The sequence below is a fragment of the Homo sapiens genome, chromosome 8 (genome assembly GCF_000001405.40).
Source record: "Homo sapiens chromosome 8, GRCh38.p14 Primary Assembly".
NCBI lineage: Eukaryota > Metazoa > Chordata > Mammalia > Primates > Hominidae > Homo > Homo sapiens.
In genome coordinates, this window is record NC_000008.11 from 94,142,799 (window position 1) to 94,169,570 (window position 26,772).

General features: G+C 41.9%; 1 protein-coding gene and 1 long non-coding RNA gene across 15 annotated transcripts in view; one reads left to right on the plus strand and one right to left on the minus strand.

Annotated features, from left to right (window-relative positions):
- CDH17 (cadherin 17) overlaps nt 1–26,772 on the minus strand; it is a 90,117-nt gene that overhangs the window by 15,637 nt on the left and 47,708 nt on the right. For 13 of the 14 annotated variants that reach the window (NR_182224.1, NM_001144663.2, NM_001413954.1 and 10 more), the window contains 6 exons: nt 22,963–23,178; nt 19,288–19,364; nt 17,173–17,364; nt 9,070–9,314; nt 5,946–6,076; nt 3,130–3,369 (listed from right to left, as the gene is read on the minus strand). Coding sequence is in view for 13 of the 14 variants with exons in the window: in NM_001144663.2 (NP_001138135.1) it covers nt 3,130–3,369; nt 5,946–6,076; nt 9,070–9,314; nt 17,173–17,364; nt 19,288–19,364; nt 22,963–23,178 (1,101 nt within the window). In the remaining variant the exon portion in view is untranslated. The remainder of the gene's footprint in view (nt 1–3,129; nt 3,370–5,945; nt 6,077–9,069; nt 9,315–17,172; nt 17,365–19,287; nt 19,365–22,962; nt 23,179–26,772) is intronic. The other variant, NM_001413959.1, reaches the window with a different exon arrangement.
- Nucleotides 958–25,293, plus strand: LOC105375647 (uncharacterized). The gene is made up of 3 exons (XR_007061012.1): nt 958–1,475; nt 23,421–23,490; nt 24,949–25,293. It is a non-coding gene; the product is annotated as an uncharacterized LOC105375647 (long non-coding RNA).

Here is a 26,772-nt window from a genome sequence, read left to right on the forward strand (position 1 = left end):
TCCAGTTTGATCATGAGAGTGCAGCAATTCAGTTACATCATCAAGGCTCCACTTCTAATTCGAGCTCTATTGTTATTTTCACCACGTTTTCAGTGATTCCTCCACTGAAGTCTTGAACCCCTCAAAGTCATCCATGAGGGTTGGAATCAATTTCTTCCAAACTCCTACTAATGTGTATATTTCAACCTCCTCCCATGAATCACAAATGTTCTTGATGATATCTAAACTGGTGAATCATTTCCAGAAGGTTTTCAATTTACTTTGCCCAGATCCATCAGAGGAATTACTATCTAATAGCAGCTATAACCTGATGAAATGTATATCTTAAATAATTTGAAAGTCAGAATTACTCCTTGATCTGGGGCCTGCAGAATGGATGCTGTGTTAGCAGGCATGAAAACAACATTCATTTCCTTGTACATCTCCACCAGAGCTCTTGAGTAACCAGGTGCATTGTCAATGAGCAGTAATATGTTGAGAGGAATCTTTTTTGGGGGACAGTAGGTCTCAACAGTGGCCTTAAAGTATTCAGTAAACTATGCTGTAAACAGATGTGCTGTCATCTGGGCTTTGTTGTTCCATTGACAGAGCACAGACAAAGTAGATTTAGCATAATTCTTAAGGACCCTAGTATTTTAGGAATGCTAAATTAGGGTTGGCTTTAACTTAAAGTCACCAGCTGCATTAGCCCTAACAAGAGCCAGCCTGTCCTTTGAGGCTTTGAAGCCAGGCATTTACTTCTCTAGCTATGGATGTCTAAGATGGCATTGTCTCCCAAAAGAAGGCTGTTTCATCTACATTGAAAAGTTTGTTTAGTGTAGCCACTTTCATTAAGGATCTCAGATCTTCTGGATTACTTGCTTCTGCATCAATTTGCTGCATCACTTTGCACTTTGTTATGGAAATAGCTTCTTTCCTTAAACATCATAAATCAACCTCTGCTAGCTTCAAACTTATTCTGCAGTTTCCTCACCTCTGTCAGCCTTTACAGAATTGAAGAGTTAAGGCCTTGTTCTAGGTTAGATTTTGGTTTAAAGGACTATTGTTGCTGTTTTAATCTTCTATCCAGACCACTCAAACTTTCTCCCTTAATGGCAATAAGGCTATTTTGCTTTTTTATTATTTGTGTTCACTGTAGGTTCACTTTTAATTTCCCTCAATAACTTTTGCCTTCACAACTTGGCTAAGCATTTCATGCAAGAGGCCTAGTTTTTGGCCAATCTTGGCTATCAACATAACATCCTCACTAAGCTAAATCACGTCTAACTTTTGATTTAAAGTGAGAGATGTGTGACTCTTCCTTTCACCTGAACACTTACATGCCATTTTAAGGTTATTAATTGGCCTAATTTCAATATTGTGTCTCAGGCAATAGGGAGGCCCAAGGAGAGAGAGAGACATGGGGAAACAGCCAGTCTGTGGAGCGTCAGAACGTACGTCGACGTCGCACTGACAGATTAAGTTTGTCGTCTTATGTGAGTATGGCTCCGGGTGTCCCAAAATAATTATAATAATAACATCAAAGATCACTGATCAGCATAACAGATATAATAATGAAAAAGTTTAAGAATTACCTAAATGTGACAGACATACAAAGTGAGCACATGCTGTTGGAAAAATGGCACCAAGAGACTTTGTTGCCACAAACCTTCATTTTATAAAAAAATGGAAGATCCATTGGGCACGATAAAGCAAAGTGCAATAAGATGAGGTATGCCTATACAAAAATTACCTTAAAAAGGCATAGAGCTAAATGCAAAAGCTAAAACTATAAAATTTGGGAAATGAAAAAAACAGAAAACTTTAGGGACCCTAAGTTTGGCAAAAATTTAAGCATCACAACATACAAATCATGAATAAAACATGAAAAAAATAGATACCAAAATTTTTAAATTTGCTCTTTAAAAGACTTGCAAAATGAAAAGACAAGCCATGGCCTGGGAGAAAATATTTACAAAAGATATATATCTAACAAAGCACATCATCTATGTATATTAAAAATGCTTGCAACTCAGCAATAGAATCCAAACAGCCTAATTTTTAAAAAATGAATATCTAACAAGACACTTCACCAGTGAAGATGGATGGCAAATTGCATATGAAAAGATGCTCAACACCGCTAGTCATTAGAGAAATACAAATAAAACCATTATGAGATACTACTCCACTCCCACTGGAATGGCTAAAATTAAAGAGGCTGAGCACAGCAAGTGCTGGGAGAATGCTGAGCAACTGGACCTCTCACACACTGGTGGGAATGTAAAATGTTAAGAACAATTTGGAAAGTAGTTCAACCTTTCCTTAACAACTGAATCATATAACTCCCATATGACCCAGCCATTCCACTCCTCAGTATTTAACCAAGAAAACTGCAAATCTTTGTCCCTACAAAATATTTGTTCACAAATCCTCACAGCAGCTTTGTAATAGCAAAAGTTGGAGTTACAATCAACAGGTGAACAGGTATAGTCATTCAATGGAATACTACCCCTCAATAATCAGGAATGAAGTACTGATGCATGTAACAACACCGATACATCTCAAAATACTGAGATGAAAGAAGCCAGACCAAAAAAAATATACATACTATACTATTCTATTTAGATGAAATTATTGAAAATGAAAACTATAGTAATGGAAAGCACTTCAATGGTTGCCTGGGGAGAGGGGATGGGTGGGAAGCAGAGATTATAATAGGGCATGAAATATCTTCTGGAGGTGGTGGAAATGTTCATTGTCTTGATTGTGCTGATGGCTTCAGTGGTATTTACATGTAATCAATTCTCATAAAATTGTATACTTTGAATATATATATCTATCTCAAAGTTTTAAAAAATTTCTATAAAATCTGCTTTCCATCTGTCATTGAAAATTTTGCAAATGATGCTTAGGTCATCCAACTGTTCATCTACACCAAGAGAATGCTGTGTGGTCATAATCTTTCCTCCCTTGAAATCCTGGGGCTTTTTCCCCTCTGGAGTCCTTCCCTGTACAAGCTTCCAAAGCATGAACTTCCTTCCTGAAGCATGAAAGAAAGCTCTTTGCTGAGTACAGCAAACCCACCAAGTTAAATAAAACCTACTTTCATCATCCATCTATGTTTTTTTCCATGTATTTCTGACAACTCACCATTGATTTTGGAAACTTCCCAGTCGTTTTGTAAGCTTCCACTGCCGAGGGAAAATGTAAAATGGGGACCCCGAAATAAGTGCTGATCATCATCAGTAGCCTCGAAAATGAGACTTCCAGGTGCACTGAGGGGATGGCAGAAGAACAAGCCCGTGTAGTCCTTGGCTAGCCTGGGAGGGTTGTCATTCACATCCATAAGGATCAGGTGGAACTCTGACACAGAGCTCAAGGAAGACCCCCCTAAGGAATTGAATGATTGAAACATGGGATCAGTTCACTCATTTTCCTCTTAATAAGAAAGATTTCCCTTTCTTTAAAATTCAAGGAGTTAGGTACACTGAGATGCTAGAAAGACGACAAGCTTTTAGAATCAAAGACCTAGTTTCATTACTGGTGAAAAAGTCTTACTGACCATCATAATAATAACTAAGAGATATGTGCTAATATTTTACATATATTACTTCAAAATAATTGTGAAAACTGAGCTCAGAAGTTGTGTAACTTGCCCAAGGCAGAGAGGTTTTCAATCCAAGAGGTCTAACTCTAGCACTCACACCTTCACTTGCTCTTTAGCAGGCCTTAGGCATGTTAGTAGAGTTTTCTAAGCTTATTTTCTTCAGCTGTGTGGCTTTGCAAGAATCCCACATATGAGTGAATGTTCTGGAAAATAGTAAAAGGCTCCACAGACATTATTTACTATATGATAGGAGTAAAAAACTTGGATCTGCAGCATAACTGGTTGGTAGCTATGTAATCTTGGGCAAGTTACTTAATTTCTCAGTGCTTTGGTTTCCTTGTTCACAGTATGTGGTCAATAATAGCACCTACGTTATAGTGTTGTATGAGGAGTAAGTTATTACACTAAGTGCTCAGTATGGGGCTGTCAGTGCAACATAAACACTGACTGTTATCATGTCCTCCTCAACACCAATCACAGACATTGTTTCTACAACTTCTGACTCTGACCTTGTTTGATTCCAGTAATGTTTTCTTGCTCATTTCTAGTAAACCCTGTTTTCTTGATTTTCTTCTCAACATCGTCTATGTCCATGGCTATACTTAACCAAAGAAGAAAAGGCCACTGTGTTCTCGAAGTTATTGTATCTATTTATATCATGTCAGTGCCAGAAACTAAAAACAGAACAGGGTTTTGGACCCTGGTTTTGATTTCTGAAACTTCTAGAATGTGAGAAACTCTTGGGACACATCCAGAGTGAAGTTCTGATCCCCATGGTATGAGAAAGGGGTGTGCACAGCATAAAGGCTCAGCCAGAACCTGCCTGCTGCTTCACTGGGAGGTTTTAAATCAAGAGTTAAATGTATACAATGTGATAGTGGAATGTGCTGCACTCAAGCAAGAGACAGAAGCAGAGGGCCTGTCCATTCACACACACCCCTCCCAAGCTGGCACACCGTTCTGCATTCTACCCTTTTTGGTTTGACTTGACTGAAGTAATTTTGTTTTTCTTAATCTTTCCACATGCAGGGGCCGTTTTTATGATTCCTGTCTCTCTTCTCCAATTCAGCTCTCAACCCTGGCCCTCACATTTTGAAAGTTTTTTTCCGGGGCTGTGGTGGGGGAGTCTAAAAACATATTTATTGAGTAATTTGTTTAATTCTCTTTTTTGGTAAACCTGCCAGATACATTTACTAGCTAATTAGAGACTGGTCAACATTGGATCAACAGATTTCCTACTTGTATGTCTGAAAATTCCATGAAAATGCAAAGAAACTCTTTTTTAGTTGCCAGGCTTATTATTGGGTAAACATACTATTCCTATGTGTTTATTTTTATTTTAAAAAAGTTCTCTGGAACTCCACAGTTGGAGCCAGCAGGCAATATATATCAGCACAACTAAAATAAATAAGATACAAAGATTACACAGGAATGGCTCAAACATCCTGGGCTTTTCTGTCTTTCCTTTCAAAAGTTCACCTGATTTCGTCAAAACACAGATACCCCTTGTTCACCCAAACCTATGGAATCAGAAACTCCAGGGGTGGACTCCTAGTGTTATTCAACAAGCTCCCCGGGGATTCTCACACACATCAAAGTAGAGAACATTTCATAAAACATTTTCTGCTTCAAAAAGGATGAGAGTTACAATTTAAGGCTGAAGGAGCAAGTGGTGGTCTACGTGAACAGGTCAGTGGTTTGATTCCACTCAGAGCTCCTGGGGGAAACCCACAACCACATTGGAAGAAGGGAGGTAGTTCAGCCAGGGACACAGAACTCTCTAGAAGAGGCCATAGCCCCTACAGGAAACCACAGAGTGAGCAGCAGCCCTGCTGGGGGCACAGGTGTTTTTCACCTTTAACAAAACCACAAAGGGGCTGGGCGTGGTGGCTCACACCTGTAATCCCAGCACTTTGGGAGGTGGAGGCAGGCAGATCACCTGAGGTCGGAAGTTTGAGACCAGGCTGGCCAACATGGTGAAACCCTGTCTCTACTAAAAATACAAAAATTAGCCAGGCATGGTGGTGGGTGCCTGTAATCCCAGCTACTCGGAAGGCTGAGGTAGGAGAATTGCTTGAACCCAGGAGGTGGAGGTTGCAGTGAGTGGAGATCGCACCACTGCACTCCAGCCTGGGCAACAGAGCAAGACTCCATCTCAAAAAAAAAAAAAAAAAAAAAAAAAAAAGGAAGATATGAGCACTCCCTTATATTTTGTACCCTTCTCATCCTTCCACTTTAAGGTTGTGATATTCTGGTGTTTTGGCCCTGTCAGTTTTCTTATCCTCCCTCCCATTTCAACCCATGTATCTTCTGATAATCTGTGTTCCTTTTTTTTTGTTTTTTTTTTTTTTTTGCTTACCTACTTCTGTGGCCACCACTTGTACCCGATATGGACTTCCGGCTTCTCTGTCCAATGGAGCCACACTAAAGATCTCACCAGTCACGTGGTCAATTTTAAGCCAACCTCTTGTGTCTCCCCTCAGTGAATAGCTTCATCAAATGAAAAGAGCAAAAGAAAGCCTGCATTACTTTGCATGAAAATGTGAAGCTAGTTTGTGCGTCAACTAAATATGTTTGTGCATCCTTGAAATATGTTGTAAATAATATACAAATGATAATGCTGAGATTATCATTATCAGCATTACTTGTATATTATTTAAAACATATTTAAAGGATCTATTATCTCATATTATTAATGCTTTATTTGCATTTCATCTGTCTTCAAAAGGATTTGTTCATCCTTACAATGTGGTGTTTGTGCTTGTATTAGGAAGGGTATAGTTCACAACTTCTGGGGAAAGTAGTTAAACTTTTCTGGCAATCAAAAACTCAAATTAAAGTAACCTGGAAGTATCTTTTAAAACCTCTTAGCAAACCACCCACCTAGAAAATTTGAACACCCAGTGGTGGAAACGTTGGGCGAGATGGGTGGATACTCATAGACCCTGGTAACACAGTGAATTCCTCATCCAACAAACATCTATTGAGTGCTGAGGAAGATCAGGCAGTGGGCCAAGGGAAGAGATCACAAAAAGGTGTTCTTAGGCAAGTGAGATAGACAGATAAACAGTTGATTCCAATAAAATGTGGTAAACACAACAGAGGGGGCCCTATGGAATCCAAGAGAAGTTTACAGGAATCAGCAAAGTCTTTCTGAAGTAGTAGATGTTTAAGGCAAGAAGAAGACGCTTCAAGTAGAAGGAAGAGTGTGAGATAAAGCACCAAGGGCCAAGGAACAGCATGGTGAGTGTGGGGTCAGGCATTTCAGCAGTGCTGGGGTATACTTGGGAAGCAGAAGGTGGCAAAAGGTGAAGCCACAGAGATTTGAAGAGCCAGATCACAAGAAGCAATGGGCAGCCAGCCAATGATTTAAGCAAGAAGGTGACCTGGCCATATTTGTGCTTTCAACGGAGCTCATTGGTAGGTGTTTGGAAGATGAAGTTGAGACAGACAAGACTAGAACCACAGGAAAACCAATGGTAGTCCTTTAAAAAGCAACACATCATAGTCATGAGGATGTCCATATCTTTAGACCAAATAATTTCACTCCTGGAAATGCTACCTAAAAAAACCCAATTTAATCAAAGTTTAAAAAGAATTACATGCATACATCTATTTAAAACATTTTCTATAATAAAAAATACTGGAAGCAACCTACATATCAAAGGACAAGAGAATCATTAAAAAAGTATGATGTGTTAATTTCCCACAATGTATTTTTTTAGTATATTCCATATGCCAAACACTGTGTTAGGTTATATACATGGGTAATGAGTATGAAACCCTTTATACTTGGGATTTCATCCTGAAAGAGATGGAATGCTTTGGAGGGTTTTGAAAGAGGAGTCAGATGATCTGATTGACTTTTTTAAAAGGTCACTGACTGCAATTCAGTGAGTAGATTCAGAGTGGGGTGGGGGACGGCAGGGGCAAGGACGAATCCAGAACAGACATGGTGGTGCCTTGGAGCAGGCTGGAAGCAGGGAGAAGCAGGTGGATTCTGAATATATTTCAATAAAAGAATCTATAATATTTGCTGAAGGATTGGATTCAAATCCATTGGGTGCTAACAGATTTTAAGTTTGTGGAGCTGGAGAATTAAATTACTCAGACCAACACTGGAGTCATCCTTAATTCTTAACAGACTTATTACTCATGTCTGAACTATTGATTATTCCTTACTCCTGAAACACTTTCTTCATTTGTCTTCTGGAATTGTACCTTACAGAACACCTCTTCTCAGTCTCCCTTGCTAACCTCCTCTTCCTGACCTCAACTTAATGGTATATGTATCCTTTCCTTGTTTCATCACAGTAATTTTCTTACATGCCTTTATTTTTCCCACTGATAAACTTTTTATTCACGTCTTTGACCAATGGTTTTTATAGCATTTTCATGAAGAAGATAGGAACTTTTGTTAAATAAATGGTATAAAGATTAAAAACATTTTGTGTCTTCTCATAATTTTTGACCCAGTAGTATCTACACTAAACCATACAGTATATCCCCTACTGTTCTTTCTTCTCTGTAAAACTACAGAAGTAGTTAGAGTAAAACTGCAGGTGGTAACTTTGCTTCTCAATGATCAGATAAAGGTCTTAGAAGTGAATCCAAGTGCCTGAAGGACAGCTCAATGGGAGGCAAGACTCCCTCCAGATGTTTAGAGAAACTTAAGGAATTGTCTGCCATTCATAGCCACACGCGTGATTTAAGTCATGCTGAAATATTTCCTATGCCATAGACAGGAGGTGTAATGTACAACAGCAGCGAAAGATCTGAGTTCAAGTCTTAACTACATGATCTTAAAGATTTTATAGATATTATACAGATATATACAAACATATATTTCTTAAGTTAATCATCATTGTACTTTTTAAGGCAAATCTGTGTGGGTCTTACTGAACTGAAAAAAAGGAATTGCTAAGATGGAAATATTTACACATTTTGTTTAGCCACCTCAGCCAGAGCACCAGCTTCTCCAGGGGTGCCCTAGATCAGCTCTTTGGAGCCAAGGAACCTATGTATCCTACATCCAGAAGATTCCCTCAGCCCTGTAAGTTGGCATGGTCTGTCCAATTGGGCTTTGGTCTCTGTCTAGAACTCCAATACACCTTTAGGGCTGGAACCCTTTCCTAAACCCTAGCCTAGATAACAGGCTTAGACACAGGGCCTGGTTATTCTAGTCTCTCAGAGGTGAACCTCACTTCCTGAACCATCCAGCTCTCAGCTGGGACCTGAAGCTCATGGGCTGGAATGGAACCTCATGCTGCTTCCCACTTGTCTGAGCCTAGATGGTTATTGATGAACCACCATCCCTTGGAATGCCCCCAGGGTGTTGACAGCTTCCTAAACCAAAGCCAATTTCATCATTGCTGGGTATGCTGTGAGGGTCAGCCCTGGAGTCAGTGCAGGCCAGCTCCTCCTCCTCCCCATTGGCTTTGGTGACCACGCAGCCAGGCCTGCCCAGCACTGTTGCCCTTTACCTTATGTCCAGACCTTCTGGATCCTTGGCAGTCACATTGCCCACTTTAGTGCCTATAGCTACATCCTCACTGACTTTCGCTTGGAATACGTGTTGGGAAAATTGAGGTGCTTCATTCACATCTGTCACAATAAGCGTGAACTTGGCAAAAGAACTTGCATTGTACTTCACACCAAACACTAGAGGCTCAGGATTTTCTGCTTTGAACACAATGTTGGAAACAGCTGCTGTTTCAAAATCAAGAGGCTGTGTAGGAGAAAGAGAGAAAATTAATTTTGGGGTGATTAGCTCCCTTAAAAGATTCATTCCCTATCCTTCTTAAACTCTCATATATTCGATATATAATATTGGAAAAACTGGATATCCACATGTGGGAGAATGAAATTAGACTATTTCATACCATATATGAAAATCCGTTAAAAATAGATTACAGACAAAATATAAGACCTGAAACTATAACACCACTAGAATAAAACATAGAAGAAAACTCTGACATTGGTCTTGGCAATGATCTTTTTTTATTATTTTTTATTTTTGAGATGGAGCCTCATGCTCTGTCACCCAGCCTTGAGCCTTGAGTGCAGTGGCGCAATCTTGGCTCACTGCAAGCTCCGCCTCCCAGGTTTGTTCAAGTGATTCTCCTGCCTCAGTCTCCCAAGTGGCTGGGATTATAGGCACCCACCACCACACCCAGCTAATTTTTGTATTTTTAATAGAGACAGGGTTTCACCATGTTGGCCAGGCTGGTCACAAATTCCTTACCTCAAGTGATCTGCCCACCTTGGCCTCCCAAAGGGCTGGGATTACAGGTATGAGCCACCATGCCTGGCTGGAATAGAAGTTTATCTGACTCTCAGTTCTAGAGGCTGGAAAGCCTAAGAACATGGCACCAGCATCTGTTGAGGACTTTGTGCTGTGTTATCCTATGACAGAAGGGCAAACCATCTCACGAGATAGAGGAAACTCACCCTTTTATTTTTAGTAGAGAAGGGGGTTTTGCCATGTTGGCCAGGCTGGTCTCAAATTCCTGACCTCAAGTGACCCACCCACCTCAGCCTCCCAAAATGCTGGGATTATAGGCGTGAGCCACTATGCCCAGCCTAGCAATGATCTTTTAGGTGTGACCCCAAAAACACAGACTACAAAAGCAAAAATAGACAAATGGGATTGCATCAAACTAAGAAGCTTCTACATAGCAAAGGAAACAGTGAAGCAGCAACTTACAGATCAGGAGAAAATATTTGCAAATACACATTAGAAAAAGGATTAATATAAAAAATTTATAAGGAACTCAAACAACTCAGTAGCAAGAAAACAACCTGTTTAAAACCTAGGCAAAGGACCTGAATAGTCATTTCTCAAAAGAAGACATACAAATAGCCAACAAGTATATGGAAAAAAATGCTCATTACTAATCATCAGAGAAATGCAAATTAAAACCCCAATGAGATATTACCTCACACCTGTTAGAATGACTTATCAAAAAGACAAAAAACAAACATTGGTGAGGATGTGGAGAAAAGGGAACCCTGTACACTGTTGGTAAGAATGTAAATTACAATAGCCATTGTGGAAAACAGTATGGAGGAAACTCAAACAATTAAAAATAGAACTACCATACGATCCAGAAATCCCACTACTGGGTATATAAAGTCAGTATGTCAAAGAGATATCTGCACTCCTATGTTCCCTGCAGCATCATTCACAATAGCCAAGACATGGAATCAGCCTAAGTGTCGAACAACAAACAACTGGATAAACAAAATGCAGTATATATATGCATACATACACATACATACACACGCACACACATATATATATACACACACACAATGAAATACTGTTCAGCTTTAAAAAGGAAGGAAGTTCCATCATTTGTGATAACACGGATGAACCTAGAAGATATTACGGTAAGTGAAATAAGCCAGGCATGAAAAGACAAATACCACATGTTCTCACTTGTATGTGGAATCTAAAGGTGTTGAACTTGGAGAGTAGAATGTTGGTTACCAGGAGCTGGGGCATGAGGAGATTGGGGAGGTGCTGGTAAAAGCATGCAAAATTTCAGTTAGAAGGAATGAGTTTAAAATATCTATTTTACAACGTGGTACTATAGTTAACAACAATATAGTGTATACTTTAAAATCACAGAAGAGTAGATCTTAAGTGTTTTCATCACAAAAAATGATAAGTGAGGTAATTCAGATGCTAGTTAGCTCTAATTAGTCATTCTACAATGTATGTATATTTCAAAACATGTTGTCCTCCTATACAATTTTTGTCAATTATAAACAAGACAAACTTTCATAGCAGTGGTTCTCAATCGAGTGTCAGCAAAAACCTTCTCAGAATGATTACAGAGCCATGAAAGAGTCTTTTCTGCAGGTCTTACCAGAGCTTGCACTACGCTAATATGTCTTAGAAGAGGAACTGGAACACGGAAGTCCTCAAATTTATTTAACTGTGGGACACTTCATTTATTCAACAGAAATGTATTGATTCTCCCAAGACATTCTCAGGTGACAGCTTGAGAAATGCTTACATAGAGATTTCCATTTTTTATGGGAAATGATTTTCCAAGGGCCTCAAAACTCAAGCCCCCAAATCAAAGATTTTAAACTCATGGAGGATGGGAAAGGGAAACAGAGATGACAGATGATCTGCTGAGGACATGCCAGATGGAACCAGGAATGAACATCAAGAAACCAATTTTGGTTTAATATGAGGCAGAATTTAACAGGGCTACCCAAGAGTACTCCCCCTCTTCAGGAGTGGGCTTACTGCTGTCTTCTCCGTGTCGGCTTCCTGATCCCTACATTCCATCCTCAAACTGACAAGCTGCACATCCTGTGCAGTCTCATAGCACCTAATAGATCTAAGTGTTGATGTATTTTAGATCTTCACTGACCCTAAGCTCCATGAGAAGAAGAACTGCATCATATTCATCTTTGCTTCTCATCTCTTCCCTGACACATAGTGCCCACAGTGGGCTGGTCAGGAACTACAAAGACCAGGAAGGCCTGGTCCTTGAGGGCCTCCATGGAGAGGAGATTCTGGAGAACATCCCCACCTTCCAGAATCCCCTTTCCCGCATGCATGCACCAACACACACCATCATGACTCACTCTCTAGTTCATAAGTGCTGTGGGACAATTTTTCACGTAGAAGGGTGGGAACTGTGTGTGAAGACTCGGGGTTGAGAAAGAAGAATCAATTGAAATTTGTTCAAATATATAAGAGATAAAATCATGTAAGCCAGCTAAGTGTGAAAAAAGAGGTTGTTCATAGTGATAAGCACCCACTGTCTGCAGGGCCTGGCCCTCGTCGACCTCGTGACGTGGTCCAATACACGTCACGTGGTCCACGGTTCAATTAGGGCTTCTCCCCCTGAAGTAGAGGTGGGGAGAACAAGCTGGAGTTTCTCACTCACAGGACCCACTCCCAGTCTCAGGGGATGACAGAACTGTCCAGTTGAGATAAAAGCCTAGTAGACCAAGCAGGAAGGCAGCAGCCCCCAGAATGAGCCTGTGATGGGGACAAAGGACACAGCTCTCTGTTCCTATCCAGTCCAGCAAAGTCCGGGCCCAGGCAGGCAGCACAGTTGTCCATATGCTCAGACAGAGCACATGCATCCATCCTCACCACCAAGCAGGTCCTAAGCACCCTCCCTGGCTTTTCCTCATCCCATCACTGTGGCCCCAGAGGCAATGGTTTAAAGAAATGAGACACTGTGTGTGCAAATGAGAAGCAGCCTGTATTACCAGAAGAGAACGTGCAAGGCTGACAGTGGAAAGACAAGACTGTACGGCGAGCTGAGGAGTTGGAACTTCATCCTTGACTAACAAGGTCAGATGTGTGTCTTAGAAAGATAACTCCAGGAGCAGCTACATGGGGGATGGATTCGAGGTGATCCACACTGGGGCGGGAAGACTAGCTAGAAGGCAGTGTCAGTGTTCCCTAAACACTGGATGGAAGAACAAATGAAAAGCAGCAGCCTGCCATTGAGGATTCTATCCGCATAACTTCCACACCTGGAAAAACATCAAACCAAATCTTCTGGAGAAATCATTATAAACGGAAGATGCTAAATTAGCACATGGTAATAAGCAGAGCTGAGCCAAGAACAAGCCTTGTCCGGCCACGTGCATTGTGTTTCATGACCTGGGGATATGACTGTGAGGCCAAGTCAAGAGACCCGTCACTGCCTCTTGGAATGGCCTCAGTCCCATCTGGCAAGACATATTCAAGTTAACTGAAAAAACCTGCTCATACCACGATTCCTTTTGTGCACAAAACCGCCTGAAAGGTCAAACCTAGAGATTTAGATTCAACCTGGAGGCAAAGAAAATGCTGAAGGAGAGGGGTTGAGACTGGGATATTTACAATTTTCACTAGCGATCACTGATGATATCAAAGTGTGCACATTAGTTTTCCAGATGACATTTGGTCTGGTTAAAAATAGCTAGTGAACTGAGAATTCAAAAGGATCAGCCATAGTAGAGAAGTGACAAAATTTGCAAGTTAAAATAAGGCAGAACCCTGAATTTCAAGAAACAGGATCTCAGGAGAGTTATTGTTGAGCCAGGCAGGGCTCAAAGAAATAGCTTTCCTGCTCATGACACACGTTTGGCCCCAAGAGCATGATAACCAAGCACACGAGAGGCTGGAGCTTGGGCAGAAGTAAATACAGAGCAGGGAGCATTTCTGACAGTTGTTTAATCTGAAGGATTGCTTTGGGCACTTGCCAAAATTACTCATTTCCAGGCTTTCCCCTTGAGAGGCTGAGGCCGCAGTCCTCAGTATGCACCATCTGACTCTTGAATTAGGCAAGTTTGGCCCCCTTAGGCAACAGGGGAAAGCATACCTGTCCGCAGGTAGAATCCTAGCTCTAATTAATTAGAATCAAGTGATGCCACGTGTTTAAGTCTGCAAGCTGCTGGATGCTGTGTTAGGAACTATACACATACTTTTGCATTTAATTCTTCAACATCCTTACTAGAAAGGTGCTACCATTTTACCCATTTTTACAGATTGGAAAACTGGGGCCTGAGAGGTTACATCATTTGGTCAAGGCCACAAGCTAGTAAGTGGCAACACCAGGACTCACAGAAATTATTTCCTGAGAGGAGGTGGAGGCCTGGAGTCAAGTTCCCGGCTCTGCCATCACCAGAAGGCCTGACTGTACCTTGCTGTGGGCCTGAATTTCTGCCTCCCTCAGAATCAGTGGGAGAAGCAAGAGAGTTTATGCAAACAAACTATAGTTGCCACGTATGAGTCCCTCAGTGAATTTTACCTGTGATTAGCACATTTGTAATTCAGATGAACTGTTAATGATATAATTGTGATTAACAAACTTAAACTTTTAAAAATTATTAACACAGTGGTTCAGAACAGTGGTAGTCCCTTGATGGCTTAATAGGCAAGGACTTAGAAGACAAAGCCATACATAAAAAACCAAATTATATAGTCTATAAAACACTTCAATAACAAATAGTATGGCTACATACATTTGTTATATTTTTATTCTATATCCTAGTGGGGAATTGGCTAACATTTGGTGTGTCCTAATCAAGAATCCACAGCCCAGGGTTGGTTGTTGCTTAGCATCTGAAAGAACCTAATCCGAGATCTATATCCCAGAGGTAGCTATGATAGTCCTTCAGCCAACACTATCTCAATTAGAACTAGAAAGTTTGTTAATTAGCAAAGTGATCTTACAAATAAATTTTCTTGGTGATATGAGTGGTGTCCAAGATATGCACTTTGGGCCATGCACAGTGGCTCAAACACCTGTGATCCCAGCAATTTGGGAGGCTGAGGCAGGTGGATCACTTGAGCCCAGGAGTTCAAGACCAGCCTGGGCAACATAAGGAGACCCCCATCTCTACAAAAATAAAAAATTAGCTGGGTGTGGTGGCACACACCTGTGGTCCCAGCTACTTAGGAGGCTGAGGTGGGAGGATTGCTCTAGCCCAAGAGGTTGAGGCTGCAATGAGCTATGACTGCGGCACTGCATCTGTCTCAAAAAAAGATGTGCTGTTTGGTTACGAGTATAGTGTATCCCTTAGTCATTGTGAACAGGAGTATAGATATCTGGCCTGGCCAGCAGATTGTACCCTGCAGAGTTCCAGGGCTCAGTTCTGTTCTGCCAGTTATCACCTGCCTCTGGATGGTTGAACAAATCCACTTGCTCAAGGACAGTTATCACAGTGCCCAAGGGACAGAGAGCTGGGATGTCACAGGCCTAAAGCACAGGTTCGATGATCACTTATGTGTCTGCTTGTTCATAATTGTATATGGGACAGAATTCATTTATTCATTAAGTCAAGCAATATTTATTGAACCTCTAATATATGCCAGGAGACATAATAGACACTTGAAATAGAACCACATATAAAGTAAGGATGTGACAAAGAGTTTGGTCAGAGGCCTACTCTACTGTAGCATACCTCTCGTGTCAAGTTGTGAGGGAGGATACTTACAGCTCTCACCCACAGCTAATCATTGAGATAGGTGCCAACATCTCCCTAAAAGGGCCCATTAACCACAAATGGCCAAGTTAAACTGCTGTTCAAAAAAATATGACATACGGGCCTTGTTCATACTGGGATGGATGGGCCTCTATCTTCCCTTAGATTCCTAGAGAGCTCTGGTCCTGCAAAAGGATAAAAGGAAGCTGCCCCCGTCACCTGCAAAGGAACACACCAACCCACTGCAAGCTCTGAAAACTGCCCTTTCCTTTATCCTTTCTTTCTGTGGTATTCTCTCTCCATGCAGACTGCTGTGAGCACAAGGGGAGGTTGTCATGGTACCTTTTCCAAATGTCAGACTCACACACAAGGCTAAGGCTTTGAGCTGGTCCACAGCAACCTCTCTGCTGAAATGCAGCAGGGCCCTTGGTTCAAGCTGGAATGTTTGGTAACAGTAGGATCACAATTCCAAGGCTCTGTCCTAGGGCTTGCTTCAGCACTAGTGCTTTTTTCTCTGTGCTTCTGTCCATTTTCTGTGAAATTATTCTATTTTGTCTTCATTTTTAGCCTCTTTCAGTTTTCTTTTATTCTGGCTCAAAACTGTACTCCAGAGCTTTCCTTTGCAGCTTCCAGCACACTGCACTGCAAACCTTAAACAATTAGCCACCCTTGCAGATTCTCTCTGGCCCTTTTTAACAGCGAGGTTTCACTCTCTTTCCTAGGAAAGTATCTTAACTGTAAGTACATTGGACGGCATTGAGTGCTGCTTCCAATTGAGTCATCTGGTAAACCCATGACATGCTCTAAACACAGATGAGGCAGCCACAGAGAAAAGAGTCAAGATTCAGGTATACATGGCAGGGGACAGGAGTAGATTGAGGGAGGGTTGGGAGAATCCTGTACAAAGAGACAGGAACCAAGGTAATTAAGACTTTGACTCCAGATTATCCAGTCCTTACAGAGGGAGAGACAGAATGAGAGCCCGTGGGCTTAGCAATACAGTAAAAGGTGAAAGTAAAGCAGCGGAGAGGGGGATTAAAAAGACACTTGTCTATTAAACCTTGGAAGGAGACCCAGCAGTTGCATTATTCAAAAGGTATCTCTGCCTGGCACATTAGAATAAAGGGTTTACAGCCTAAAAGGCCCATGGGGTCATCCAACCCAACTCCTCACATTTGCAAAGGGGGAAGTGAAAGCGAGACCCTGAGTGCCACTCCCAGACCGTAAGAGTGTTGCGAGATTTAGCAAATAGCAAATAAAAACATAGAACACCAAGTTCGATTTGAAGTTCAGATAAATGACAAACAAGTTTTTAGTATAAGTGCATCCCAAATATTGCATAGAACACACTTATACTAAAAAATTGTTCATCCTGCATTTTATATATTTTATATGACGTTACCTCCCTGCAAAAGTTACTTGGCTAGCTAGCAACAGAGCCAGGTCTAGAATCCTGACTTCCCGTCTGTCAGGAAGACAGGAACGACTAAGAGGAATCCAGGAATCCAGGAACCCATCACCATGCCTGAGAGATGGCTGCTAATACATCACCTCTGCTTATAGGTCTTCACACTGTCATTAGTAAATTAACCCACAAACAAAGACAAATTCTATTAAATAAATGGGCTATTTACCTTTTTAATTATGACATATCCGGTGTTGGTATGGGGATCTGTGTCAACCCCCAGGCGTCCCTCACTGTCTCCCTTTATGATATGATACAGAATTTTAGAACTCCCAGTAAATGGCTCATCAGCATCAGTGGCCTGGATGGTTAAGATGGTGGACCCAATGTTTGTGTCTTCAGCAAGAGTCAGGTTTCCATACTAAGGAGAAAATGGAGAAGGAAACAATGAGAAGGTCTGCTGTCATCAAAGCCAAAGGACAAACTTATCTCTCTGGTTTCAGAATAGACACAAGTCATAGTTTGCATCAATCTTCATGGGGCATGTTTTTTCCTATTGATGAATATATTGCAGTTGATTTTAACATCAGTCATACTCATGAGCTGATATCCATTGTACCAAAGAACGCAATACCTCAGAGAGCTACTGGTAGGATTCTAAAACAAATTCCCCCTCCCATATCCAATTTGTTTAATAACTTAATTATTGTAGTAGTAATGATATAAATAGCCACCATGTATTGAGTATCTATCAGGTGGTAGGCACTTTATATACATTATTTAATTAATTCTTAAATCAACCAATGAATAGAGGTTGATTAAAAGCTTGAACTTTGGAGTTAAACAGCCTGAATATGAATTGTAGGCTTGCTTCTTATTAGTTGAGTGGCTTGAAGCAAGTTACTTCACTTCTTTAAGTGTCAGTTTCATCATCTGTCCAATGGAGACAATAGTAATAGAACCTACTTCATGTTTGCTGTGGGTGTTAAGGGAGACAATGCATGTAAAGCTCCTAAATTCTTGGCACATAGTAAGTGCTCAATAAAGAAAATCAACAAAACACCTTACGGAGTAGTTATGTTACCATCTCCACTTACGAGGAGCAAAGGCTTGGAGAAGTAAAACCCACCAAGGGTCACACAGCTAGTGGGTCAAAGGGATTGGGATTCAAAGCCATGTTTGTGCAACTCCAAAGCCTATGCTCTTGAACACTGGCCTAGACCATCTCCCACTCCACTGAAAATCCCCCAGATTATCTCTCTTGGCATCATGATCCTAAAGAAGGTTATAAGTAGGTCTCAGAAGAGAGGACCACAGCATTGAAACAAGCAGGTTCACTCTCTGTAGCCAGATTAGTATTTAAGCTCTGAGACCTCAAGTGCAGGATTCTTACCCTCAATCTAAAAAACACTGTCTCGATAAAAGGCGAGGAGGTCACAAAGTTAGGAAAGGATCAAAAGCCCAAGAGAATGGAGGCTGAGAAGAAATGGGTTATTTGATGCCTGCTGAACCTCAGTGCCTGTTATACAAGACATATCCACTCACACCTCTTCCCACCCCTAGCCCCCTCATAAATCAATTCCCTTCTTTGTTGCAGGCTTGTCCCTATTTTGATTTATGAACATCATCACAGGGCTCTGGGCTGCCTCATAACTGACTTCAAAAATAACATAACAGTCTAGTCAAATAGGCTTCTTGCTCCTTCAAAATAGAGACTTCCCTCCTTAGGGAAACAATGATAAAGTCATCACCAAGTCTGAACGCCCTATCGATGACAAGAAAACAGTAATTTGCATTTTTCTTGAGGTTCTAAATTGACTTTTTTCTTTCTGTCCAGTTCTAATTCTCTCAAATGTCTTGGGCACATTTTTCTTTGGCTTAAGTCAGAGATTAATTTTTTTCTTCTCCCTTTCTCTTACCCAATTATTACAAATTAAATCGCCAATATTCCAAATATTAAATTTTTGGCTAAAAATGCTTGAGACCTAGCAGTAAATCTATTTATTGTCCTAACACAAAAAAATATATAATGACAAACTGTAAGCCGCCATTCACCTTTTTTCAATTTGACAAAGATTGTGGTTGTTGTTTTTAAGCAGCCCTTGGAATAAATGAGCTATTGGCAGGAGTTTATAAATGAATGTTCCCAGACACCTGTAATAGTAAATGTTATTGTTCCCCAAAAAGTTCCACTGAAGATGGCATCTGGGTTATTTGTGCACTGACCAAGGTTACCTGTTAAGTCTGGCACTTTTCCTAGCTACTGTCTGTGTCTCTATCCCAGAAGAAAGGGTGAAGTAAAATGAATAAAGTAAAGAAAAAACAAATAATGACAACTACTCACATCTGATTTTTCAAAGATGGGGATCTGATCATTGATATCAATAACGTTGATTTGCACAAAACAAAGGGTCTTGAAATCTGAAAACCAAAGTCATATGTCATAGAAATTTTCACTGAAAACCATGCATTAATATCAGAAATCTGCAAGAAAATACTTGGCAAGTGAAGTGACAGCCATAGCCACAATTTTGCAATTGACATGCAATTTGTGCAGAGAGTGGGCTCTCTGTTTCCCACCTGTACCCAAGTGGTCACCAAGTGTGGGGCAGGGTGGCTAAAGACAGATCTAAGAGAGATTTTTCTAGGTTTTTCATTGCCGTCCACCTGCTGTCCTCCTAAGTAAAGTTAGGTAAGGTTTGTTCCTGAGCAGGATGGCTTCCTTTTGTGAAGCAGTCTTTTTCTGACTAGTGAAACTTATGTAATCTTCAAAGTCCAGAGCAAAACTGTCCTTCCAGAAAGCCTTCTGTGAGCATCCCAGTGGCTGTCTCTCCTTCTCTGAACACATCCAACCTACATCTGCTCTGACTACTATGATGGTGAGGTCCAAGGGCCTGCTCTCTTCTATCTAAATAAGGGAGGAACTACCACCATTGGCCTGTTCACAAGAGTCTGGCTACCCAGCCTGCAGGAAGCAAGGTGGGGACAGAGGTAGCTCCTGGAACCCTGGAGAAATCACCCAGGCTTTCAGGGATGGGTTTCACAATTCCAAGACCTAGGCACACAGCCACTTCAGCTAGATTCCAGATGTGTGTGGAGTGCAGGTGGGGACAGGATGCCTGGGGGAGAGAGAACAAGAGATAAAATGACAGGTTCTTTGTTGGGTTGCTGTTGTTCTAACCATGGTGCACTGCACTGTATAATGGTTAAGACTCTGGGCTTGGAATTCACTGTTTGGACTCTGGCTCTGCCACTTAGCATGTATGTGAGAGCTTGGGTGCCTCACTCAATTTATCTGTAAACTGTGAATAACAGAACAGATGTTTTCATCATAATACAGTTGTTAGCGGCCTCTATATAGCAGCAACTGTATTGTTTACCCGAGTTACTCATTCATCTTCATGATAACTTCATGTTGTAGGTGCTACTGTCATTCCCATTTAATTAACAGATGAGGAAGCCAGGGAATAGAGAAGTTCAGGTAACCTAACCAGGGTCACACAACTAACTAGTGATGGAGCCAGGATTCAAACCCAGAGGTTCCCTTTGCCCTCTGCAGCCACCATCCATTCCTCTGTCTGTGCTCTGTAGCCCAAGGGGCTGACCTTATGAACTGCATCAATGTACATCCTCACCCTGAGGGTAACAGTTGGGTTCTGCCACTGAGAGGCGTGGCAAGAGACTGGAGGGAGGACAGGAAGAGTGTAGCTGGGGGTGTCACGCCCCCGTTGCCAACAGCCCTCTTCTAGTGACAGGCACAGGCCTTGCTCCTTTGGGGGATGCTCCCCTCCCTGGCTCCTTCAGGTTTTAGGGCAGAAAATGCTGCTTACTGTGCTTCACACCTCCTGTTGGTTTCCCTTAACCCTGCCCACAACCTTTGCAAACAATCCCTTCTTTCAACTCTTTGAGGGGAGTCTCCACTTCCTGCTGGGATCCTGACTAATATTCCCAGGTAGTTTAACTCTAGAGCTGGTGCTCAATGCACTGGACATGATCCCAGGGACAGAATCTATTAACAATCCAATTACAACCAAGTGGATATTGATTGAAGTTAAGGCTGGTCCTCAGAACGTTTGTAGACAACAAGAATGGCTGAAGACTGGAGTGGTCCCAGACCCAGAACCCACTGGCTCACTGCTCTGCACACACCTCGTTTGACCAGCAGTGGGCCTTTCTGGGTAAAAGGCCTTCCCTGGTTTTATGTAAAACTGTGTTAATTATAGCCTAGTCTCTAGTTTTCTGTAGTGCACAGTTGAATGTTTAGTTATATCAACACACACATGTATTTTAATATATTTTATAATCTGGTCCATATTTTCTATAGACGTACTCATGCAAATAAACAATTTGTAATCTGATTCCCACTTTAAACTCTATCTTCAAATTGCTCCAGGTCCTCATGTATTTCCACATGGATTCCCACTCTCCCATAAGTCCTACATGATTTTGTAACTTGTCATATTCATCCTTCAAAGCCCAGCTCAGAAATACCTCTTCCAGAAAGCAGTACCTGTTCTCTCCCTCCACTGAGTCACTTATTTCCTTCATGGGCTACCTTGGGCAGTTCCTTGCAATTTACTGACTCACATGTCCGTCTCTTCTACCAGAATGAGTGCTCCTTGAGGACAGAATCATCTATGTCTCCCCAGTACCTTGCATGGTGCCTCAAATAGGTAAATGCAGAATAACTGCTGAAAGAATGGACTGTTGATAGTGTGAAATTGTTAGCTCGTCATGAATAGGGAAGGTTTATTATACTTACATCTGTTCTATCTCTTACAATAATGCTAGACAAATATTAGGGCCTTAATATTTGTCAAATTACTGGGTTTCAAACATTCCGCATTAGGGCCCTACTAAACCTGGCTTCTGCCTAGTATCTCAATATCCCTGTAAAGGACAGAAACATGAAGCACAGTGTGAAACGTTTCTTGTTTGTTCTCCATACCTGTGTCATCCGTGCCTGCCAGCAGAACAATTACTGAATTATATGGTAATCGAAGATTAGTACGCATTAACTCAAAGGACCTTCTAGGAGTCTGAGTGCCCTTGAAATGAGTCTGTCTTTGAATCCAGGTATTTTGTGTGTCTGTGCACATTTGTTTAACAATGTGTGCAGTTGATTAAGAATGCATAGTTTTTATCAGATTCTCAAAGGTTCCTGTGACCCAATAGAGATTAAGAACCACTTGCTCTGCAATTGTATAAGGAGTATGGGGAAGAATGTCTCCTGATACTGTCAAACGGCCAACTAGAAGCTGTTAGGGTAAGATAGAACTTTCCGAAAGATGCTCTTCTCCTCCACTTTCCTACAGTAGAGTCCTTTCAGTCTGAAAGCAAGAATTGGGAAATACAATTCATTTTCCTGTTTGTGATTATGTTCTGCAGAATGTGCCTGGCAGACCTCCAACAACAGGGTTGTTAATTGACAACAGCTCCACTGCTGTGCTCTGGAATCTATTACCACATTCACACTGAGACCTCAACTCCCCTGGACTGTACACAGCCAGTGACTGAGAAAAGCAGCAATTGTAAAGCTCATTTTCAAAGACAATGAATTCCTCTGACAGCCCCCTTTAGACTCCCCGACAGCTGTGCCAAGCTTTCCTCAGACTGTCCTAGTCTAGGACATTCCCACCAGCCTTCCTTCTCCATCTCCCCTTCACCCAGCGTCAGGCATCAGGCTTGTATTTAGGTCTGATGACTCTCCCAGCCTTCTTTGTGCCCTTCCGCAATTTTTTCTCACGGGCTCCCCCCAATAAAATCCTCGTACATTTAATCTCCTTTTGGCATCTGCTTCCCATAGGACCCAGACCAACACAACAATGGTGCCTGAGCTGCAGCTCCGGCCTTTACAGTGTTCAACCAGCTATCTCTGTGTTATGTGTGTTTCACAAAGGAAGCAAAGAATGTTTAAATGGCATCATTCTATAACATACCAGACATTAGCGCAGGAAAATAACTCATAGCTAGAAGGAAAACAATGATTTGCACTCAAGACGGTGGATATGATACTAACCTTTGTCAGACACCTCTATCGTTAAGTTGTACTGAGGAGTATCTTGCTTCTTCAAGGACTGTTTAGCTAACTGTAACATTCCAGCATAGGTTTGGATTAGGAAGAGTCCATCCATGGGAAGTTTGGGAGTTTGCTCCACAATCCTGTAGTTTAGAAAACTGTTGGCAGTATTTTCTTCATCCCTGTCATGTGCAGTAAGGGTCCCGATACTGTTACCTATGAGGAAGGAAAGAAGGAAAACCCACCATTACAGGCTCCACATAATCTATTAAAATAGTTTCACTAAAATAAGCACATTCCTAGAAAACACCATGAATAACTTTGAATAGCAGACAAATGCTCTTAGAGTTATTTTGGTTCTTCTCATCCTATCATGTAATGGGTTGAATAGTGTATTTGTCAGCCAGGGCTGTCATTAAGTATCATGGATTAAACAACAGAGACTTATTTTTTCACAGTTCTGGAGGCCAGAAGTCTGCAATCAAGGTGTTGCTGGGGTTGGTTTCTTCCGAGGCTTCTCCTGGGCTTGTGAGTGGCTGTCTTTTCCTTCCGGTGCCTTCACAGCACCTTCCTTCTGAACCTCCCTATGTCCACATTTCCTCTTATAAGGATACCAGTCATACTGGATTAGGGCCCACTGTAAGGACATTTTACTTTCATTACCTCTTTTAAAACCTTATCTCCAAATATAGTCACATTCCGAGGTACTAGGGGTTAGAACTTCACCCTATGAATCTGGGGGAGGGGGAAGATGTAGCCTAGAACAGAGGGTTACAACCTCAACATATAATTTGGGGGGCACGGGGACACATTCAGCCCATAACACCTAGTACTCCCTCCCAAAACTTCATGTCTACCAGAACCTGAGCATGGGACTCATTTGCAAATAAGACCTTCACAGATGTCACTAGTTAAGGCTCTGGAGATGAAATCATCCTGGATTTAGAGGCAGCCCTAAATTCAGTGACAGGTGCCCCTATAAGAAGGGAAACACAGAGATGCACACAGAGGAGGAAATGATCTGGAGGAGGAAGCCAGAAGTTGGAGATAGGCTGCCACAAGTAGCCAGGGAACACCAGATGCCAACAGAAGCCGGAAGAGGCAAGGAAAGATTCTCCCCTTGAGACTCTGGAGGGAACGCTGCCCTGCAAGCACCTTGATTTCAGACTTCCAGCCTCCAGGTCTAGGAGAGAAAAGATTTCTGTTGTTTTAAGTCACCAAATTGGTGGTGATTTGTTGCTGTAGCCCTAGGACGCTAATACACATGGCAAATGGTATCACTAAACAAAGAGAAGCCAACCCTAGATTGCATCTAAGCAACTTCATGGAACAATTGCAGAAACTGACTCTACTCCAAAGATAACACAGGGCAGGGACCAGGCAGGATCCTCTCCACCTTGCTGTAGTTTGTGGTCCTAAGTATTTTATTCCTGTGAGGGTTTCAGTCCAGGGAGTTCTACAAACCAGTGGCTATGACTCGGTTCTGCACCCAGCTCTGGGCAAGTTCTGACAGGTTCCAGACCATCCTACTCTGGGAGGTGGGAATTGTAGGTCTCTTTATATGTAGCAAGAATCCCACGTAGGAGCTCAAACTTGAATTCATCCCATTTGTGGAGTTACACCCCCTCCCCCATCAGCTGACACAGTTTGCATCCACTGACGCATATGGAAATTTAGAGGTTTTTTGGTTTTGGGTTGGGGGAGGAAAAAGAAAGTACCTATGTATGTCTACAGTAGAGCTGGACACATGCAGATGTGCCTCATGGGCTGCATGCAGGGACCATCGGAATGAATAGGACAGAAGAGAATATGTTTCTAGTGCATATGGCATGCATATGCCCTTGCAAGAAAAGTATCTGTGTGCTGGGATGAAAGAGTGTCTTACTAAATTCTGTGGTCCTTTGGTGTCTCAGCAGCCCTGCTATAGCCCTATCCCCTCAGCAAGTGAGCAAGAAACTGAGGACACTGTCCTCCTCTCACTCACAGGAAACCTCCATGCTGCCAGAGGCACCATGAGGACTGCTGGCATCAGAGGACACCCCTCGCTGGGAGCAGAGGACCTTGTGGATCAGTCGGAAGTGAAAGGAAAACCATGTCTCTGAGTGACTGAGGCCTGGAACAAGTGGAGCTCAAACTGATACAGGAGTATACGTAGCATCTCTTAGAAATATGCAGAAATATTTAGGGAGGTGGGGTTTTTATGAGAGTCTAAATTTTCTGTATGAATACATAAGACTTGGTGGCAAGTGGGATTCAAGAATAAATGTTAGTGTTGCTAAGACTTGGGGACACGAGTTCCACAAGATACCAAACAGGAGAATGTAAATACACTGGGGAATATATATATATATATATATATATATATATATATATATATATATATATATATATATATATTTGTGTGTGTGTGTGAGATGGAGTCTCACTCTGTTGTCTGGGCTGGAGCACAGTGTCATGATCTCAGCTCACTGCAATCTCTACAAGCCTCTCAAGTAGGTGAGATTACAGGCATGCACCACCACACCTGGGTAATTTTTGCAGTTTTTTTTTTTTTTTTTAGTAGAGACAGGGTTTCGCCATGTTGGCCAGGCTGGTCTCGAACTCCTGGCCTCAAGTGATCTGCTCATCTTGGCCTCCCAAAGTGCTGGGTGGGATTACAGGCATGAGCCACTGCACCTGGCCTAATTCAGTATTTTATCAAGGTTTTATTTGTGAATATTTCCACCTACTCATGTCCTATCAGCTAAGCTAGACAGTAAGTCCCCACAAGGCAGGAGCATTGTCTTGTACCCTTTTAAGCTTACATATATAGAATATGCTCAGTTGATTTATAAGAATTCTTGGTCCACTAAAGACTCTGAAATATTTTTACAAAATAAATTCTCACCTTTAGAGAGGCAAATAGCAAGCTGAGCCCCTTCAAAATTTATTCTACCAACAATGACTTCTTCAGTCTCAGAAAACCAGCACTATCCTCTTCCCAGATGAGGTAGGCGCCTCGAAAAGAGCTTCCAGCAACCCCCATCTCCTGATATTTGTGCTTTTTCAGAACCCCATCCTGTTGAGTGCAGGCTGGACCTAGCAACTTGTTTCTAATGGCAAAAGTGATGGGATCGCTTCCAAGATTAGGTCATAGAAAGACTGATGCCTGTCCTTTCCTGCTCTGCCGTACTCTTTCCCTCTCTCTCAGAACTCTCTGAATTAGAGGTATCCAGCTGAACTTCACCCAGATTCCAGACTCACAGAAACTGTGACATGATACATGCTTGTTGTTTCAAGCTGCCAAGATTTAGAGCAATCTGTTTTGCAGAAATAGGTAACAAATAGACTATATGATTGGCCCAATGTAAAAGAGGCTTGAAGTGTCATGTCCGGGTCAAGAAAGTTGTCAAAGATTTTCCACCTTTATTCAGTGTCACAGACCATCCCAGATTTCCCAAGAAGGTGATGGCACACGTGTTTGTTGGCTACTGTTACACTACTGTGACTGTGAGAAGATTCTTCCTTATAACGAACTGAAGTCCTTCAAGCTGGCATTAACTCTTCCTGTTGTGGCAAGAGTTGAGAAAAATGAAACAGAGAGGACCTGCACAGAACACAGTGACACAGAACACACTGACAAAAGGCAGCCCACACGACACCTGATAGCAAGAAGAAAAATAATGAGCAGTGTGAGCAAGCCGCTCCAGCAGCGCCCACCAAGCCTCCGGGAAGGCACCCACTCTGTCAGAGGTGTGTCTGGTGAGGAATGGAGGGACGAAAAGAAAATGTGAGCCCATCCACAAAGCACAGGAGGATCTCTCCACAAGG